Here is a 17,937-nt window from a genome sequence, read left to right as displayed (position 1 = left end):
GCAGAGTCTTTTGTAATAGTTCTTGTTATCAGGCATTTGTGCATAAGAACCGTACTTTCATGGTCTTCCCTGGATCTACTTGTCAGAGTTTTTAAAACACATGGCTCCATTTTAATTCCGATGACTTTCACATGTACGTGTATGTGTGTACTATCCTTAGTATGTTTAAAATATGTTTTATATATATTTCTATTCCCTTTGAGATTTTTGCATGTATTTTATAATAAATCTTGACTACAGTTGTATTCATCCATTCTGCATTGCTATGAAGGAATACCTGAGGTTGGATAATTTATATAGAAAAGAGTTTTATTTTGACTCACATTTCTACAAACTGTACAAGCATAGCACAAACATATCCTTGACATCTGGGGAGGCATCAGGAAGCTTATGATCATGGCAGAAGGAGGAGGAAGAGAAGGCGCATCATGTGGTGAGAGACAGGGAGGTCCCAGACACTTTTAAACAATTGGGTCTCATGGTAACTCATTACTATAATCCTCATTGTAATAGCCATTTATGAGGCATCCTTCCCCATGACCCAGAGACCTCCCACCAGGACCAATATTAGGACCTGCAACATTGGAGATCACATCATCAACACTGGGAAGCCTCCAACGCTGGGGATGACATTTCAGCATGAAATTTATTGACCATATCAATAGTGTTTATTTCTATTATGGTCCTTGTTTTATTTTAATATCATGGGGAGACTAGACTCACTGCAAATATTGAGTACTTTCACTTTTTGTATTTTTTGAAAGAATTAAGGTATTGTTGGAATTTCCTTCCTTGAAGTATGTGATATAACTCATCTGTAGGACTGAATTTTCTATTTGGTAGGTAAAACAATTTTTTAACATTAATGTATTTGATTGGATTGCTGTTTTTACATTTATACTGGAGTTTATTTTCTTGTTATATTTTTCTTTCTTTAAATGTAAATTATCAAATATGCTGTCGTTATATTGATCATATTGTCTTACTTTTTTAATACTTTTTAAATACATGCTGCTTTTATGGCCTACTTCTTTTTTTCTTCCCTAATATTATTTCTCCTTTGAGCAGAGAAGGAAATACTGTAAAAGTACTTCAGTTCTAATTTTTAAATTTCTTTTTAGTCTTAGAATTTTTGAAAAATTATTTATATGCTTTTTTGATCCTTTCATTTTATTTTTATATTCTTTTTAATTTCTTTTTTTTGTTTTAATTAATTTTTTTTTCCTGTTTGGGCTACCCAGTAGTTTATATCTAATCATCACTATTTATACATACTTTCTTTCCACACTGCTCCCACAGCTACTTTTAACACATTTTCATTGCATTTGCTGCTTTGCAACTTCACTATGATCTGAACAAATGAGAATCTATTTATTTCTTCCTGGAATTCATTCTTTTTCATTTAAGAATTTATGACTTTAGGCCGGGTGTGGTGGCTCATACCTCTAATCCCAGAACTTTGGGAGGCTGAGGTGGGGAGATCACTAGGTCAGAAGATCAAGACTATCCTGGCCAACATGGTGAAACCCCATCTCTACCAAAAAAAAAATACAAAAATTAGCTGGGCATGGTGGCTAGTGCCTGTAGTCCCAGTCACTTGGGAGGCTGAGGCAGGAGAATCGCTTGAACTCGGGAGGCAGAGGTTCCAGTGAGCCAAGATCATGCCACTTCATTCCAGCCTGGCAACAGAGTGAGATTCCATCTCAAAAAAAAAAAAAAAAAAAAAAATATATATATATATATATATATATATATATGTATATGTATGTATGTATAATTTGTGACTTTAAACATTTCTGGAAAACATTTAATCAATATACCTTTCTATGCTGCCTCTCCAACATTTTTCTCTATTAACTTTTTCTGGAACTATAAATAGAACTATGTTAAACTTTCTTCTTTTATCCTTCATATATCTTGGTATTCCTTCCATATTTTCCATTTCTTTGTCACTCTATGCTGCATATTACTGTTTTTCTTTTTTTCATATCTTCTTTTGGGAACATCTATTTATTTTATTTATTTATTATTTATTTTAAATTTTTGATAAAATGTCTCCTAAATAGAAGTGCTCCAGTTTCTATACATCTTCTGAACATTGAAAATGGTTGAGACATGTCACCTGCTACACTCTCCTATTCTATTAGTTCTTTTCAAATTACTTCTGAAGTTTTTTATTCTTCTTTTTAAAATTTTAGTCAATTAAGAAAATCATCATTTTGGAAACCTCACAATCTTGAACAGAGGTTCTTATAACAAAGCTCCCAACTTTCTAACCCTATGACTTGTTTAGCACTCCATATAGAAGTTATAATTTGATTATCTGTGTGCTTATTTATAACTTTGAGTTCCCTTTGGTGTTTTGGTGGTGGAATTGTAAACAGTTTATGCATAATAAAGTATTTTGACTATTGCTCTAAAACACGAGAATCCTTCTACATTATTTCAGACAATGCATTAATTGTTAAACTTTTCAGCTTCTAAAGACTTACCAAACTATGGATGATAATGTCTGTTCTAGGCATTTTCACAAATGCTATAAAAGCAAAATTTACATTTTTGCTCTTGTTTTAGTTTGATAATAAGCTGGTTTTTCTTAGAGGAATTTCGTTTCAAAAATATTATAACTGGAAGTTACACAAAAATGGAATTCAAGAAAAGTAAATTTGAACATCAAAGGTCATAAATGAAGAACTCTGCATTGACAGATGGAATAATTAGGTGAAAATAAAGTGAGTTAGAAATATATAAAGGTTATCCTATATTTTCAAACTTATTATAGAATTATCTGTTAATACTGATATCTCCTCTAGCATGTTTCTAACTCTAAAGTAAAATAGACAATATTATGTCAAACTTATAGATTGGTAAAATGAATGGCACAAAATCTTGCCTAAGACAATAGGTTGGCAACAAAGCTAAAAATGGGAAATTGATAATTATTTTCATAATATAAAGACATGAGCTATTTTCCTTGTCTTGCATCTACTAGACACTAACATTATCAAAGAAATGAATAAAACAAAATATTTTCAGTTGCAAATTTGGGTAAAAAATATATTTTTTCTGATTTCAAAAAAAAAGCGTTACAATGAGCCTCTGAAATGGAAAAAGAAAATATGTAACTTTAGTTACAGCTCTAAGACTGTTCAATGCTTGGTAAAACCAAATAAAAACAGAACATTAAATTTAATACTGAGGAAGAATCAATGATAATCCTGTTAGTTTCTGTTGTGTACTACACACTGGCTTCAAACATGTAAGGCCTGAACCTAAGAACACAATTTCCTCTATTTCCTTTACTATTTTCATTCTGCTAAAATAACTAACTCCTTAGCTTTTCTTTTTCAAACTAGTAAAGTTAGTAAGGAAAGGAGTTTTCATTTTAATTCATATTCAAAACCCAAAAATAAAAACAGAGAACTTTATTAATTGCTCATATTTTCCAATAGTAGTTGAAGCAATGAGATAAAAACAAAACCTAAAGGTAAAAAAGTATCTTACTCTCAGACATTTATTTCAGTAAAATACAGTTGTACATTGTGATATATGATATAACTTTGATTCAAAAAGATGAGGAGTGCAATTTCCCATACTCTGGACATCTGACAAGTATGTAGATGACACCTTAATATCTGTGTGTGTGATAATCAGCCACTGTTTACTTATTATAGCAACTAAGAGGACCAGATAAAATAATGTACAGGAACATTACTTGGTAAACCACCAAATATACATTTTAAGTAGACAACTCCTACAGCAGAGACAATTATAAAGTGTATCTAAGTATTAAATTGATCAAATCTTGCCCAAAATTCTACTTCAATATTCATTTCGCTAATGTTCTCCTCTGCTTGTATACACTGAGGTACAGCCCCTCACTAAATATTATTTTGGTTTCTATTAGCTATTGACTACCAACCAATGGGAAATATGATGGTATATATGAGTGACTAAAAATAGACAAAATTTTGTCCTCTGGAGCTTCTAGTGTTAGAGTAAGGCATCAATCAAAATAGCATATTATGTTAAAATTATAATTAATTATAACAGGAACTAAACAAAAGTGGTGTACTGATTTTGGAAGGTTTCCCTTAAAGGTAATACTTGTGGTGAGATTTAAGGGAAAGTAGGAAGTAAATAAGTGAAAATGATGAAAATAACATAGAAACACTCTACTTTGGGTGTCTGGCAATGGTGAAGAAATGGTACATGGAATTGGAGAAGGCAAGCCAGAAGGCAAAGAAAATTCCTCACAGATGACTCTTTGCTGGTAAACAAGGGCTCAGAGACTTTATCTCAAGCACTTTGGGAAGCTGATGAATAGTTAGAGTGAAGATGTTACAGATTTGTGTTGTTTAAAACATTACTCTTGGATTGGGGCAGGGAGGATTCTGGAGAAGCCATAGATACATGAATTAGTTAAGATATTATCTTACCCTAAAGTTGCATGTAATTGTTCAGTATGTTTGTCTAGTAATAAAGAAGAGATTGTCTTTTTTTCCCATTTTAATCTTATCGGATATACAGATAATCCCTCATTCCCTAAAGAAAGATAGAATAGCTTCTTCCCCTCACTACGGTCTTGTTTCATGGGGTATGTGTGTCCCACTTATTACCCATATCTATGGAATGTTAACAATGGCCTATTTTGCAGCATTTCCAATTCTTCTATAAGCAACTGGATGGATTGATTGAAAAACCAACTGACACTAACTATCCATGTACTACATGTAACTAGAACTGGAACTGCGTGTCAGTAAACATAAAACTCTTTGAAAGCAAGCACACAACTCATATTAGGCTCTCAATAAATAATTATGAAAATAAATAATTATCTATCTAACATATGTATATACACCTCTGCTTTTCTATAATAGAATGAAAAAATCCCATAGGCTCATGCACATCCTTCTTACATGAGTAAGTAATTGCAGAACTAATTCAGGCCAAAAGAAATTAGCTGAGAAATCAGGGAATATTAAGATTTTATGCAATAAAATCATTCTACAGAAAATATGTTCCATGACTAGCATAGCATAGAGTGTAATAAAATAGTCTTTAAAATAAATATGGCATAATTTTCTCCCATCTTCAAAGCAATCAGAAATTGCCGTATGTTGTTTGTTCTGACTTTGAGTGTTTTTTGACTTATTTAACATATACATATTTATGCATATTTGATTAAAGTAATGCCAAGACTTAAATTTTTTTTTGAAATTAGAAAGAATAACTTTTGACTAGTTAATACTGTGTTAAATCTCATTCTATATTCTTTGAAAGAAAATGGGCCTTTAAAAATGTGAGACTTTTAATGTTAAATTTACATATCTATTTTGAGGAGCACGCTTTCATTGTTCTGTGTCACTTCATATCCATTATTATTCACAGACTTGTATCAGAAATGTATTTGTATAGAGAGTATCTTTGAAATTACTTTTCTTAAAGTGAAAAAATTGAATCAATATCTTTCATGATTCCATTGTATCCTGATTTGGGTGGCAAGGAATTAGGAAGGAGAAAGTGCAGTTTGTCCTCTCTCTTAAACTTATGCAAGTTATGAGCTGTCCTTTCTTCCTAACATTTAATTTAAAGCATATCTAGGACATTTGGAAAAGTTGTAAACTGACAAGTAAGTCAAAATCCTAAGAAACATTTGACATCCTTACAGATAAACTTGTGCTTTTTTTTTTTCATCTTGAAGTCTCTGGCACCAAGAAGCAGATATGATGGTATCTCTCTTGACACTAAATTGTGATGAATGTATCATGTCAGTTCAAGATTAAAAGCTACACTTAGTAAAAAGTGTCCTTTATACACAAAACTGGACATTCAGATCAGACCATGAAATATGCTGACACTTCTAATAGCAACACATTTTTTGTGTTTGGTCATTGTTTCTGCCACAAATGCCTATATTCTTGGGTTCTAATATCATCTACAAATAGATACTTTATAAACATGCATAGCAGTACATTTATTCCATGATTTTTATTATCTATAGTCACTCTACACAGTGACTATATTAAAATGAGCATGAGTTTGAAAGTTTGAATGACTTACTCTTTCTGCCACTGCTCATTAAGGTATATTTCCTCATCTTTCTCATCTCACTGTTTTTCTTTATAAATATAACAAAATAAGTTAACATGTAAAGAAGAATAATAACCTGCCAGCCCCAAATATTATCAGTGTAGTCCAAACTGCTAAGGAATACAAATTATCTTTAGCAGTGAAAGCAGTTTTAATGGCTTCCATACACAAATCTGGGTTAACAAAATGATGGTGTCCATAATTGCCTTTTCATGGGCAATTATGAGGTTATAACTTCCTTGCAATATGTTTTTTATTTTTGATTATTTCAGAGGAGTTAGACATTATAATGGTCTTGTTGATAACGACTTGCCTACCTGCTCAATTCTTACTTCTAATGTCTTGTGGAACATAAGCCTATTTAGTACACTTAATGTCAGTCAGAAGGCTATATTATAATTACACTGCTAATAATAGCACACTGCTAATAAACACAAATCCTATTGGTCTATCAATAATTTCTCTATATAGATTTGTTTGTAAAGCACATCCTTGGAAAGTTACTGAAAAGTTACAAGATTTTATTTTGGGAATGTTTAAAAAGGAAGCAACAAAACTAAGTGACTTCTTCAAGAAACATGGAAACAGAATTTGAATCAGGCATCATTTTGAGAGCTGTATCCATTTTGATGCACCAGTGCCCATCCCTTCACTAAATTAATTCACTTTTTAGAACTATAATTCGAAGTTCTGTCAAAGCCCTTGCAAGCCAAATATTACATGTTCCCAAATGCATTGCTCTTCTCTACATGCCATCTGCACCTGTGTCTAGGGTGAATTACACAAGGAAAATGTAAGCACGGTGGGTAAAAGATAGCCTACGAAAACAGTATAAAGCTCAACTTAGAGCAATTTGGCATAGTTGCATACAGCTGGGAAGTGAAAGCAGCAGATGGGTTATGTTGACTTCCTGAAATCAGAAATGAGAAGGCTTATATCTAACAAAAATTTGCATAGCCTCTAAGGCAAAGGCATTGCAGACTTTGCAAATGATAACCACAGAACTGTAAGGTGACATTCTTGAAGTGGCATGTGAATAATAGTATAATTGGCAAGAACTGTATAGATACAATTTCAACTACAACTTCATATTTTTGTAAAAAAAAAAAAAGGAAGGTACAGATAAATGGGACCAAGAGTTATTTTTATGCTACAAAAAAAGACTTTACAAATGAGTTTTCTCAGCCATATATAGAATCTATAGACTATTGGAATTATACCGCTAGAATTGAATATTTAGTTAGGAAACTAATAAAAATTCAAGAGCAGGAGCACTTCTAGTACTACTTTTTGGTTTTGTACATTTTGTTTTCCATTTTTGTGTTGAGCTATAGTGTTCCAAGAATATAATCAAACAAATGCTTGATACTTGCAAATTTAATTCACAGTGTATTTAACAACAGCTTGTTTAAAACCTGTAAGATCCCTTGACCCCTTCTTTTAATAATGACTTGATTCATTATACAAAATATATGTTAAGGTAAATGATTTCACTTCCAACAATGAAATACTGTGCTATAAAATTGTAATAATATATTGCCTTATTAGAATGTTATATGAAATTAAACTAAATATATAATTTTATTAATTATGCAAATGTGTATTACTTGGTTTCTATGTGCTACATCAGGAACTATATTCAACCAAACTGCTGCAGATTGAAATCTACATAGCTAAGCAATGTTATTCTTTATTTAACACAACAAGTTCAAATTATCCAAAAGAATTTTAAATATTTTGCCTAGATATGATTTTAGGTACCAAGATATTACTATACTATTACTTGATTTGAAGTGCAATGTAGCTTTTTAACATTTTCTAATTTTTCCCAGCTCTGTGTGTTTACTTGATTTTGTGTCGACTCCTGGTGTCTCTGAGATGATTAGACTGGCAAAGGTCAGATGCTAAGTGGCTTCCTGCACATACCGTTTCCCCCACTTATATCATTTTGGTATTGTTGGTTTTATCATAGTCACTTGAAAATCTATATAAATGAGTTTCCCTCTTCAACTGCCCTTTCATTTCTGTGGCAAGAATAACTTTTCCCCATATCTCAAAGGAAATGTTAGAGTGTGTATGACTGCTTGTGTAATAAAAAATGTCAAAATACACATTTCTCAAATTAGTTTCATATTCCACAACCGCCCATCTCTGTTTTAATGGTCATTTGGCTGTCTGGAATCAGTATCTCAGCCCATTTGAAACTATTTAGTCCTTGGTAAAATTGCTCTGCTGTTCTCTCTCAAATGGTTCAAATGGAGCAATCATTGTCAAGGTGATCTTGAGTTTCTGAAAGAGAAAAAAAATACACAAAAGTTATACTTTCTGAAAAGCTGTAGAAAAATAAAACACACACTCAGAGGTGTGAAACATGGCTTCTCCGTAACAGAAGCACAAAATTTCTCCTGAATTTCTTCTCATTTCCATACTGATAAGAAAGAGAAACTAATTTTCAATTTTAAAATTGCATTCACATTAAAGTTAGACTAAACTATGAAGGCAGTAAATACAGGCAGAATAGGTCATTATCCTCAGGGATCAAGGGAGTTGGAAATAATTTTTTTCTCTTGACTATTTTGTAAAATCTTTGGATATTTATTTTATTGTGTCATGTTTTGGTACAAATTTATCAAACTAGATTTATAATGAAAGGAAGGTAAACAGATATGCATTACACTATGTCTTAAATGTATTCCCAAATTAATATACATTGCATGTTTTCTTTTTCTAGTTGTTAGTTAAGTAATCCAAAATATTCACATTAGAATTTCCATGAATTACATTGAGAAAAATAAGGTTAATTCTAAATGCATCTCATTTTTTTCCATATCAAACCTAGATAGATTGAGTAGGTCCTAGAACAGGATGTATCTGGATATAAAAGAACTAATCAGAGAGTTACCTAAGCAGAGAGAAGAAGGTAGAATACCAAAAATATCTTTATCGATTTGACACACTTGCTGAGAGTTTTCCTTGAGTTTAATCTGTTCTAAGGATGGAAATTATCTTTTCTTCCATGCGCAAATGGTGACCTGCTGGTAATAATCCCAAAGACTTTGTTGCAATGAATTTTAAGGTTAAGTTGAAAAAGCTCAGTGATTTATTTACTTTCTGTAGCAGTGGGGTCAGAAAAGAATTGTAGCAGGCTGACAGAAAATTTGGCAGTCTTTCTTATTTCACTAATCTGTTTTGTTGTTGTTTTTCTCTCAAATATATTTTATTTTTTCTAACTAAAAAACATCATACCTCATTTAGTTTTTTTTTTTCTTTCTTTCAGGCTACAGTCTATGCCAACAGTTTTACATTTCTGTAATCCTCCAAACTATGATATTTAGTCTGTCAAATTTGCTTTACCTGTAGTCCATGATACTTTTTTAAAAACTGAATATTAAATACATTTCTGCCAGGCCATACCCTGGCTTTTGATTCATTCTTCGCAGATGTAAATTTAGAGGAAATGCAATTATTTCCTTTTCAAATTAAACATTTTTATGTTTCAGACTGACATATATTTATATTAATGAAGGATGAATATGTCCAAAAAATTATGTGCTCTTACTTTTTCACTTAAAAAATTGGGTAACTGAATTTTAGAATGCTTGAGATTTATTTTGTTCCGAGATGTATAATTAATAGCATGGTAGAATTTGCAGCCAAGTTTATAAAGATTATTTTTTTTTTTTTGAGACAGCATCTTGCTCTGTCACCCAGGCTGGAGTAAAGTGGAGTAATGTAGGTTCACTGCAGACTCTGCCTCCAGGGTTCAAGTGATCCTCCCAGCTCAGTTTCATGAGTAGCTGGGGCTACAGGCCCATGCCAACATGCTCAGCTAATTTGTAAAAAAAAAAAAAAAAAATTGTAGAGACAAGATCTTACTGTATTGCCCAGGGCTGGTCCTGAATTCCTGGGCTTAAGTGTTCCACCTCAGCCTCACAAAATGCTAGGATTTTAGGCATGAGCCATCGTGGCTGTCTTTTTCCCAATGCTTTTCAAGATCATCTGTGATTCTCTTAATACTATACACCTTCCGGGACTCTCTTTGACCTAATACAGCGTCCTCATACTTTTGGTATATTGGGTGGTAACAGATCAGTTTTAAAGTGTCAGTGTTTCCATACCCATGAACTCAGGAATGAACACTCGAATGTGATCATTCTCAGATGCAACTTGCACTCAGTTATTATGGTAGAGCATCATCCAGAAGTCTGGGCTTTAGTAACTGCCTAGGCTTGCTCTATATTTTATTTAAGGGCTATTGGGCACAAGTACTAGGAAATTCATTGCAAGGAAGATAGGCTTTGCAGTCACAGAGATCTGGGTTTGAATTTATTTGCACCTAACAAATATTTGATGTTCTAGAATTCCCCCAATTCTCTCTTCTAGGATGTCCAGTTTTTAGCTTTCTATCCAAGAATTCTTACTCTCAAAAAAGGTCATTGATATTGGCTTGAATTAACTTTCTGGGGAAACTGACTTATAAACAGACATATGTGACATCTCATATTGTGATATTTAATTTATTATTTTTGTTGATGTAACAGTGAGTTCTGGAGAGGTAGATCAAAGTAAAGGTAAGGAATTACAGGCTGTTATTTGAGAAAATAATTGTAGGCATAGCCATGTTTCAGCTAACATAATTCCCTTGCATGAGAAGGCTATATTTGAGGGTTATAGGATTAAGTAGAAGTGGAGGTTGAATTACCAGTGATATTTATAAAACGTAGTAACCATTTAGCAACTTTGATAGGCTAGGTTTCTGTCAACTTACAACAACAGATACCTTGAGGATAACATAAGGGTAGTCAATGTTGTGTCTCTAATTACTAAAAGGTAACTAATTCCCTTTCTGATATTTGAAAAACAATTTTTTAGCATGTATCATTTATGGTGATGCTGCCATAGTGTGTGCTTGGTTGGTACACCAGATACAATAAGCCAAGGGCATTAACCAGTGTAAAAAGTTGAAATCAAGTTGTATGCCCCAGATCCTCTGTTTATATGCCACATAGAAGATAATGGAAGGAAAAATAAATTGGGCTTTAACAAGATTGGAGGCCATTAACATATTTAATATATCTCTGAAAAATTGGTCCACAGATCCCAACAAGTTAGTAAGCATCCTGTGTAAACGGCTTGGTAAATACATAGATCTTCTTTAGAATAAATTCAGTCTGTATTAATATAAATATTGAAACTGGACAAAGTGTCTCATAGAATTCATGTTTACAGCCTTTTAAAATATAGATAGAAATTGACCTTCCCAAACTTAAAGCTTGAAACTTACATTTCTCTTATCTAAGTTCCTTCCTCAGGAAACAGACCCTCAGTCCTCCAAGATAATATCAAGGAACTGAAACTCACCAGATCACCACATCCAGACCATGAGAAGCCAGACCCCACATCTTCATGATTTCCTTACTCTTCCCAAATTCCCGTTTACTGGCAGGTAGCTGCATTATTTTCCTGCTATATAAACCCCCAGCTTAGTCAGTGAGGCAGATGGATTTGAGACTGATCTGCCATGTCCTCAACTGCAGCACCTGATTAACGCCTTCTTCCGTGTCAATACTCATTGTCTCAGTGATTGGCCGTCTGTGTGGTGAGCAGCAGGAGCTAGACTGAATGCCTGATGATTTGATAACATTACCAATGTCATAGAGTTCATGGCAGGAGGCACTTGAAGTTTTAAAAAGTATGAATTTGCCTCTTTTTTCCCAAAGAAAATTATCTTCATAGGAGAGGGAATTAAGGCAATATAGTTGGCAATACTGGCATTGAGTTAGAAGCCTTCAGGCTTCAAATAATTTGAGTCGCCTACATTTTTGCCTGAGGGCATATCCCACAAATATTATAGAAAAGTCTAATACATTTTGGCTCTTTCTATAAAGGAAGTTTGTAAGAGAAACAATGTGTATTAAATTGGAATTTTTTCAGGCCCTTCATGAACAGCATTAAGAAATCCTTTACAGAAGAGAATATGGTTTTATTGAGACTCAATGGAAAAATCCAACGTAGGTGTTTAAGGCAAAGGAAACAACATGTCGAATGGCAGGGAACATGAAAATCAAAGTCCAAAAGTTTGAGAGTGATCGAGTATACAAAGAAATTTAAAGAAGAACTTTGTTGTGTGCATACTATGAAGGGATGTGGAGTCATCTTTGATGCATTTTCAAAGTTAAAATGAACCATTTCAAAACTGTGAGCAAAGGCATAACACAACTAAATATGTATGTTAATGAGAAGATATTTTAATGAGAGTGTAAAATGGAATGTGAGGAGACAAGACTAGATAAGAAGCCAAGAAAGTAAAGATGTGGCCCTGAATTAAAGTACTAGCATGGACTTAGATAGGAATAGGTAGATACAATAGAAATTTGTGAGACAAAATTGTCAACTTCATTGAAATACAGAAATTAAAAGAAATAGAGGAAGGCATGTAAGATGTCTTCTTTTCTGACTAGGATGTTTTCAGACCAGTTGATAACTGGGTGGATTGCAGAGTCATCCACTAAGGAATGAACTATAGGGGATAGGCATCTTCGAAGTATGAAAATGTAAAATTTTAGGTGCTCATGGGCCATCCAAGTGGAAACGCCCAATAGATACAGGGATGAAGTTATGGAGCTTGTGAAATATTGTTGGATGTGTATGTAAATTTTGGATTCATCATTGGGTTGGTAGGAGCTAAAGAAATTCAATTCCTAGAGAAATGGCTTTACTGAATTGTCTCGTAACTTTAATGAAATCCACATTATAGTTATTTCAGTTTGTATACGCTAATTAGTGTGGGACAACTGGAAATGCTACTTAAAGCAGAATCTATATTGCAAATTCAGATATACCTTTAAAAATGCATTTTATGATTAAGAATAAAAATTAAGAGATTAACTACAACTTTAAAAACACCTTATGTGGCAAATTCTAACCACAAAGATCCTATAAGTATTGCAATGTGATATGTATATTTATAAAATATATGTATATATGCCTGTATACATGTGAATATGTATCTATGTATCATATATTTTATAGTCATGCATTGCATAGTAATGTTTCAATCAACAACAGACCACATACACAATGGCGATCCCATAAGGTTATAACAAAGCAAAAAATAATTCTACTTCCTAGTGACCTCTTAGTCATCATAAAGTTGTAACACAAGGCATTACTTTTGTGTTTATTGTAAAACAAACCTACTGCCCTGCCAGTCCTATAAAAGTGTAAGATTTGTACATGCATACAATTATATACAGTACATAATACTTGATAATTATAATAAAAGGCAATGTAACTGGATTATGCATTAACTATACCGTCCTTTTTATTGTTATTTTACAGTGTAGTTCTACTCATTTAAAAAATAATATGTTAAATGTAAAACAGCCTCAGGCAGGTACTTCAGGAGGTATTCCAGAAGGCATTGTTATTATAGGAGTTGGCAGTGCCATATGTGTTATTGCCCTGGAAGACTTTCCAGTGACACAAGATGTTGTAGAGGTGGAAGACAGTTATATTAATGATCCTGACCCCGATTGCCCCAAGACTTTCCAGTAAGGCAAGATGTAGAGGTAGAAACAGTTATATTAATGACTCTGACCTGTGTAGGCCTGGATTAATGTGTGTGTGTCTTAGTTTTCCACACACAGAAAAAATATTTGAAAGTTTAAAAAATTAAATACAAAAATATTATAAAATAGAGATATAAAAAATAGTATTTCTGTACAGCTGTAAAATTTGTGTTTTAAACTGTTACTATAAAAAAGTAAAACTTTAAAAAGCTTAAAAATTTGTAAATTTAAAAGTTACACTAAGGTAAGGTTAATTTATTATTGAAAAAAGAATTTTGAAAATAAATTTTCTGTAGCCTAAGTGTAGCGTGTTTATAAAGTCTACACTAGTAAACAGTGATATCCTAGGACTTCACAATTTGCATAACACTTACTGACTCACTCAGAGCAACTCCCAGTCCTTCAGGTTTCATTCATGATCAGTGCCCTATAAATAAGTACCATTTGTTACCTTTTAAACTGTGTTTTTACTGTACCTTTTCTATGTTTAGCTATATTTAAGCACACAAACACTTACCGTTGCGTTACAATTGTCAACAGTATTCACTATATTATACGGACTACACAGGCAGGAGGCTATACCATTTAGGTTTGTGTAAGTACACTATTATATGTACAAACAATGACAAAGTTGACTAAAGAAGCATTCCTCAGAATATATCCCCATTGTTAAATGACATGTGACTGTATACATATGCATTTATATGTAAATAATTTGTTTTAAATGTTGAAATTCAAATGATTTTTTTCAAACTATTTTGCTCTACTATAAGTAATTTTCTGTGACTACCTTCCTAGGTATATTTTTGTTGTTGCAATGGCTGTTGGAATTATCGATAGTAACCTTTGAAATGCAAGCAATTTCATGTATAGAAAATTGTGTCTTTGTATTTCCTTTACCGCTTGCTAAGGATCACAGCAATAACTCTGATCCCTGGCTTTCTTTAAATAAATATCAAATGTGTTACTGCTTATTCTAAATTCTAGAGATCTAATTGTTTTTAATAATATTATAATGCACTTTGCACTTAGAATCACTAGGGCATATTGGCACCTTTAGTAATAATGAAAAGTTATGAGTGTCTAATATTTCCATATTAAAAAAATAAATTCATTAGCAACTTTTATTTGTTCATATTTTCTTAACGCACACTGAAAACACTTGTGTATTTTAAATATTGTTGCATTACAGAAAAGAAGTGATCAGAAATATATCTTACATATGTAACATATTAGTAAGCCTCTCTATTAAATGCATTTGTTATACAGTTTTCAACATAGATCAATTTATACTACTGGAACTCAAATTTACAAGATATTAGTAAGACATAAATGATCTATTCTACCTTATTTATAAACAAACTCCCCATAACCAATAACAATTATTTGCCATTTGTAACCTCACCTCATAAATTTCTATTGAAAGCAGTAATTGACATTTCCTGTTATTCCTGTTTTTCACTTCCATGCTGTACATTAGAATTTTATTTTTAAACTCTTCCTACTCCTCCTCCCTCTCCTATGTCTCCTCCTCCTCTTACTCTTTTTTTCTCCCACCTCGTTTGCTTCTCTCCTATTTCTTCTTCAGATTTATGTTTGGTTTCCTAATGGTGAGAAAGGATCACCTTTTTAGTTATCTCTGCTGTCCTTGGCTCTGCTTTTCCCACTTTACATGCTACCCTTTCTGATACCAATAATTTACTCTCAGTTTTTTATTCTCACTAACTCCAGTTTTGGAGTTTTTATTTTTTTTCCTGAATCTTGTTATACGATTTCCTAAGAGACTCTAACAACAACTCAGATTGTTCTGTTCAATATTTTTTCTTTTATTCTTTCTCACTTCCTAAGCCTTGAGACTTTGAGGTTTTGTTTCGTGTTTGAGACTATAATGTTTGGCCACCTACCGTGCTGTTTTCCTTCCAAAAGCTTTTTTCAAGAGACTTAATTTAGCTAAATTTCATTGTATACTTTAACTAATATGATGATAATATATATTGCAATCAATGGTTAAATAAGGGCGTGTTTCATTTTGAGTCACACAACAAAATCTATCACATTTTAAGTTAAATTTTTTTTTATTAATAATCCCTCCAAAAGAAAACCTCATTCAGTTGGAGATATTTTTAAATAAAGCTATAGCACAATGAAGATAATAGCCAGTCATATCATAATATTAAGGTAATTATTTCACTTATATACATAATAATGATATCATTTCATGAGAATAGTAACAGATGATTATAGTCTGATTTACATGATTTTAAGCATGCTCATAGTTGTTTAATTATTTCGTCGAAGACTAAATGATTAAGAATTTCATAGGAAGTGGGTAAAACTAAGTACATTCTGCATGTTAAGGAACATTACAAACATATTGAGATCTTTACCTTTGGGGATATATTAGAACTGCTTTTCAGGCACAGTGAAAACATAAGCTGGGTGCAAGATAAACTTTACATTTATTAAAGCCTAATTGCTTAGGCCATGAACTCAGATAAAGTGTATACTTACTGCGTGAACTAAATTCTTTCTTCTAGGGACCTTTGTTTTTCTAACATCCTTATTATTACACAAACTGCTTACTACTAAATTTTCTGGGCAGTCTCTTCTGAGCAGGTAAAAAAAGGCTGATAGAAAATAAACAAGTGACTTCTAATTCATCACAGCCCTGTCAATGCCCTTTGTCAATAGTGTTGCTATAAAACATAGGGAATGAAAAAATATTCTTTTTTGATAATTCCAGGTTTAACCATATTTCAAAGAGCAATGTTAGGTAATAGTGTTTATTATTTTCTGGTAAAATGTTATTAAAAGCAAAAATAAATTAAACATAAAAGAAAATCATATATGCAGTTTTCACTGCATGATCTGCCAGTAGGCACTGACATAATTCATGAGAATAATAAGTGAATGAGCTTATTTCTTTTCAGTTTAACATTCAAATGAATATAATTCCACATTGTCTGACAACATGATTGTAATGCCAGAGGCAGAAGACTTGAGGATAACAAAAGATCTCAGACTAACAAAATGGTCGAATTCTTCAATGTCCCTACCTTTCACCATTTTTTTTTTCAACAATAAGTAGCTGGATGGGATAAAGTAATGCCAACAAATTGTGGAAAAAATTTTATATTTCATGGATCTTGCCAACCTCCCTGGTAAATAACCGCTTATGATCTGCTGGACAGGGCTGATACAAAGGTTGTTTATGAATCGCACAATAATCACGATTATGACAGGAAATCTACCACACTGAGGAATGAAATGCTGTGCCATCCAAAAAGACATAGAAAGTCACACCTAAATATCAGTTCATGGCCACCTGGAAATTTGGCTCAGTTTTGGGATTTTTGAAAGGGAAACTATTATAGTAGTTGAAATAGCTGTTGTTCAATTTATCTCTGAGTTCAGTACATTGTAAAAGCCTTGGATTTCTGTCAAACTGAGAAGTTTGAGAGAGTCAGGAAATAGGGAAATGAAGGATGAGGGACTCAAAATCACTGGGTAGAAGCTAAGTTACCTCTAAGAGTCTGTTGCCCATAACATCCGTATAGAAGGCTTTCTACTTTTATGGCAAAAGGAAAACTTCCTGACTGGCCTAGTGAGTTTAAAATAAATACTAGTAACATTTTTTTTTTTCAGTAAAAAAGCAGCACTTAATTTCTAATGGCTGAACTCTGCCAAGGAGAAAATTTATACAGAGTTATAAGGTTTGTTGTAAAGGGTAGACAGAAAACTATATAATCAATTTACAGGTAGTAAATCAGGATTTCCTGCTAACAAAGTGCCAAGAGAGCAAAATTAAATTACTTCTATAAGATGCACATGCAATTGCCTGGGGGTTGGAACGTCTTGCTAGTGGAGAGAACAAGATACAAAAAGCAGAATACCAATAATAGAGAGAGTATGACCTAACCCTTTATTGTCTTGCTAAACTCTTGCCAAAAGTATTGGATAATATCTCAGCGTCTTTGGCATACATCTGAACAATAGACAGTAAGTCAAAGAAATCACATAAAAGCACATTATCTCATACTGCAACCTTAATTTTAACTCCAACCCAGTCATATTTTCAGAAGATTTTTAACAGTCTGAGTGAAGTAATGCTTAGAATTCCAATGAACTAATGCTTACGTCACTGACCGAGTATTAAGACGCAAAGGAACAGTTGAAATGATTAAAAGAGTATGAACCTCTATATCCAGGAAACTTATCTACTAATATTAACCAAGAGACGAAAGATTTCATCATGATTTCATCCCTTCATTAA

The 17,937-nt window shown here is 32.6% G+C and overlaps 1 annotated feature.

Moving 5' to 3' along the window:
* Positions 13,812–14,313: an enhancer, noted in NCBI's record as "NANOG hESC enhancer chr5:25948319-25948820 (GRCh37/hg19 assembly coordinates)". NCBI's record gives its function as "activates a minimal SCP1, AML or CMV promoter by ChIP-STARR-seq in naive H9 embryonic stem cells {active_cell/tissue: H9 hESC(naive)}" and the evidence as "EXISTENCE:reporter gene assay evidence [ECO:0000049][PMID:30033119]".

The sequence above is a fragment of the Homo sapiens genome, chromosome 5 (assembly GCF_000001405.40).
Source record: "Homo sapiens chromosome 5, GRCh38.p14 Primary Assembly".
Taxonomy (NCBI): domain Eukaryota; kingdom Metazoa; phylum Chordata; class Mammalia; order Primates; family Hominidae; genus Homo; species Homo sapiens.
The sequence above is the reverse complement of the archived record's forward strand: the minus strand, read 5'-3'. Positions and strand labels throughout refer to the sequence as shown.